We start from the raw sequence: 3760 nt of genomic DNA, 5'->3' as shown, positions 1-3760 counted from the left end.
ATAAGCAAAGAAATACATAATGCAGATAATTCTCACTTTGCATTGTTTTGATATGCATGAATTTTGATTACCATGGTTTATTTAACACCAGGTTCCCAACAAAACAGTTCAAATTTTAGTCACCACAGCATATTAATTGTGAGTAACTGCTGCAAATTTCACTGCTAGCTCTCCAGGCCACAAATGGCTATGTAAGTGACAAATGTTCATCATAATCAGTGACCAATCGCATTACTTCTTTCAAAATCATTCAGTGATTGGTCACTGTGCATCTGTTACTCAGTTCACACAAGGAAAGCAAAGCCTGTAGCTGTGTTGCCTCTTTGTCTCCCAGTGGTAGAGAGATACTTTAGGCAAAATAATTGAACTTCTAAAGTACTACTACTGTTGGATAACACTCCAGGTCAACCTGATTCTCTTAAATGGAAATGTGAAAATTTGCTTTTTACACCCAACACAACCTCATTAATCCATCCAATGGACCACGCAGTTATTTCAAATTTGAAAGCCTATTAGATGTACTTTCAGACAGACTAGGAATGCTCTAACTAGAAATCATGCCATTTTTTTAGCTGAGTTTTGAAAGAAATATGACATAAGGGACGTACTTGAACACATTCAAGCATCATGGCAGGAAGTAACAACAAGTAGTATGCCCGCAGTATGGAAGGAACTTTTCCTATGCCATGCAAGTAACTTTATGGGCTTCTAATAAAAGGTAAATGGAGTTGTAGAAGAAATAGTTGACCATGGCAATGTGGACACACTGCTGCTCTTTGAGAGGCTCTTGATATGCAGCCAGAGAAACTTAGTGAGAGCAAACTTATGAACACAAATGAAAAAGTGATTGTGATGAAAGAGATGAATATATCCCAGAGGAAGGAACACTTGTGAAAAACTTCACATTAAAAGAGCTCTCAGAGATATTTCATGACATTGAAAATGCAAGGGACAAATATTGGAAGCTGATCCAATAAACTTAGAAAGGAGGATGGCTATTCACCAAGAAATATTAAAAAATGTTCTCTCTGCATTGTAGGTTTTATGAAGAGAAGAAAGAAGCAAGCACTGTTCAAACTACTCTTTTTGTAGTTTGTACAAATTTATGCTATACATGGAAAATTTTGTTATGTGTATATCATGTGTAATGATCAGTCAGGGTATTTAGGGTGTCCATCTCCTGGGTACAACAAATTTTTGTTTAACTATAGTCACCTTACTCTGCTAGCAAACACTGAATTTATTCCTTCTATCTAACTGTATATTTGTACACATTAACCAACTTTTCTTCATTCCCCCCTCCCCTCCAGTTCCAGTCTCTATTCTCTAACTTCCCACCCTCTACCTCCACGTGATCAGATTTTTTAGCTCCCACATATAAGTGAGAACATGTGATATTTGTCTTTGTGTGCCTTGCTTATTTCACTTAATATAATGACCTCCAGTTCCATCCATGTTGCTGCAAATGACGGGATTTCATTTTTTATGGCCAAATAATATTCCATTGTGTATGTATACCACATTTCCTTCATCCAGTTTACCACTGAAGGGCATTTAGTTGAATCTCATATTTTTGCTATTGTAAATACTGCTGCAATAAACATGTGAGTGCAGGTATTTCTTTGAAAGATTGATTTTTTTTTAGGGGGCTGGGTAGTTATTCCAAGGGTAGGATTGCTGGATAGAATAGTAGTTTTATTTTTAGCTTTTGAGAAATCTCCATACTGTAAAACTACTCTTGATAAGTTTTTAATTGTGGCAAAACATACATAACATACAATTTACCAGTTCAACCATTTGTAAATGTATCATTCAGTGGCATTCACAATGTAAAAATATATTCACATTGTTGTGCAGCCATCACTACCATCTATCTCCACAACTTTTTCGTCAACCCAAACAGAAACTCTGTGCCCATTAAACATTAATTCCCTCTTCCCCACTCCTCCCAGCCTCTGGTATTCTCTATTTTACTTTGTCTCTATGAATTTGACTGTGCTCATATGAATATAATCATATGAGTAGAATCATACAGTATTTGTCCTTTTGTATCTGGCTTATTTCACTTAGCATAATATCTTTAAGCTTCATCCATGTATTAGAATTTCATTTCTTTTTAAGGGTAAACAATATTCCATTGTATGTATATACCACATTTTTGTTTATCCATTTGGGTTGTTCCCACCTTTTGTCTATTGTAAATAATGCTGCTATGAAGGCCATGCACGGTGGCTCAGGCCTGTAATCTCAGCACTTTGGGAGGCCGAGGTGGGCAGATCACTTGAGTTCAGAAGTTCAAGACCAGCCTGGCCAATGTGTTGAAAGCCCGTCTCTACCAAAAATATTTTTTAAAAATTAGCTGGGTGTGGTGGTGTGCGCCTCTAGTCCCAGCTAGAAGGCTGAGGCAGGAGAATCGCTTGAATCCAGGAGATAGAGGTTGCAGTGAGCCAAGATCGTACCACTGCACTCCAGCCTGGGCAACAGTGTGAGACTCCGTCTCAAAACAAAAACAAAAACAAAAACAGATAATGCTGCTATGAATATTGGTGTGGAAATATCTGTTCAAGTCCCTGTTTTTAACTTTTTTGGGTAGACACCTAGAAGTAGAATTGTTAGATCATATGATAATTCTGCTTAAATTTTTGGGAAACTGCAACACTGTTTTCCACAGTGGCTCCACCATTTTACATCCCATGGGCAATGTGCAAGAGTTCCAATTTCTCCATATAGTCGCAAACATTTGCTATTCTTTTTTTTTTCTGTAGTAGCCATCCTAATGGATTTGAAGTGGTATTTCATTGTGGTTTTGATTTGCATTTCCATAATGATTAGTGATATTCAGTATCTTTTCACGTGCTTATTGGCCATTTGTATATCTTCTTTTGAGAAATGTCCATTCAGAATATTGATGTTTTCTACAAAGAAATGAAAACATTTTAATTCCCAATATCTCTAGTGTTTTAAATTACAGTTTAGTAAATAAATATTCATCTTACTTTTTTTTCATTTTCCTATACATTTATAGCCAATAGTAAGAGGGTTTTTATTGTTTTGACAAAAAATTTTTAATGGTCATTCATGGAGCAATTATTATTTTCCCCATCGATTATGAGGGTTACTTTACATCGTTTCAGCTTGCATGGCCATTTTTATGGTCCCCTACCACCATACAAAGTAAGAACTTCCTATAGAGTATTGAATTAATGCTAAAGGATATGAAAATAAAGCAAGGCAAAGGGGAAGAGAATGATGGACTCTGATGGGAGAATGGGCTATTTATATGGGCAGTCAGAGAATGCGCCTCTGGAAAGGTGAGATTTGAATAGAGGCCTAAGTGGGGTAAAGAAGCCGGCCATATCCCTGCCTATGGGAAGGAATTTCCAGGCTTGGAGGATAGCAAGAGCAAAGGCCCTCAGATGGGAGCCCGCTTGGTCTGTTTGGGAAATAGCAAGAATGCCAGTGTGCCTAGAGCACAATGAGGGAGGGAGAGAATGGTAGCAGATGATTAATTTGGACAGGTAGGCAGGGACTGGATCATGTAGAGCCTTGTTGGTTATGGTATGGACTTTGGATTTTATTCTAATATGATGGGAAGCCATTGAAGAGCTGAGAGTGATGTTGTGTTAGTGAACAGGGCATTTGATTGGTTAGGGATGAATTCCTTCAAGGAGATGATAGGGGAGAGTGTGAACAGTAAAGATTAACTTCATCCACTTCATAATTTGTCTAATGGCCAGTCTTAGCTTAAATATCAGCACAG

The sequence above is a fragment of the Homo sapiens genome, chromosome X (assembly GCF_000001405.40).
Source record: "Homo sapiens chromosome X, GRCh38.p14 Primary Assembly".
Taxonomy (NCBI): Eukaryota; Metazoa; Chordata; class Mammalia; order Primates; family Hominidae; genus Homo; species Homo sapiens.
The sequence above is the reverse complement of the archived record's forward strand: the minus strand, read 5'-3'. Positions refer to the sequence as shown.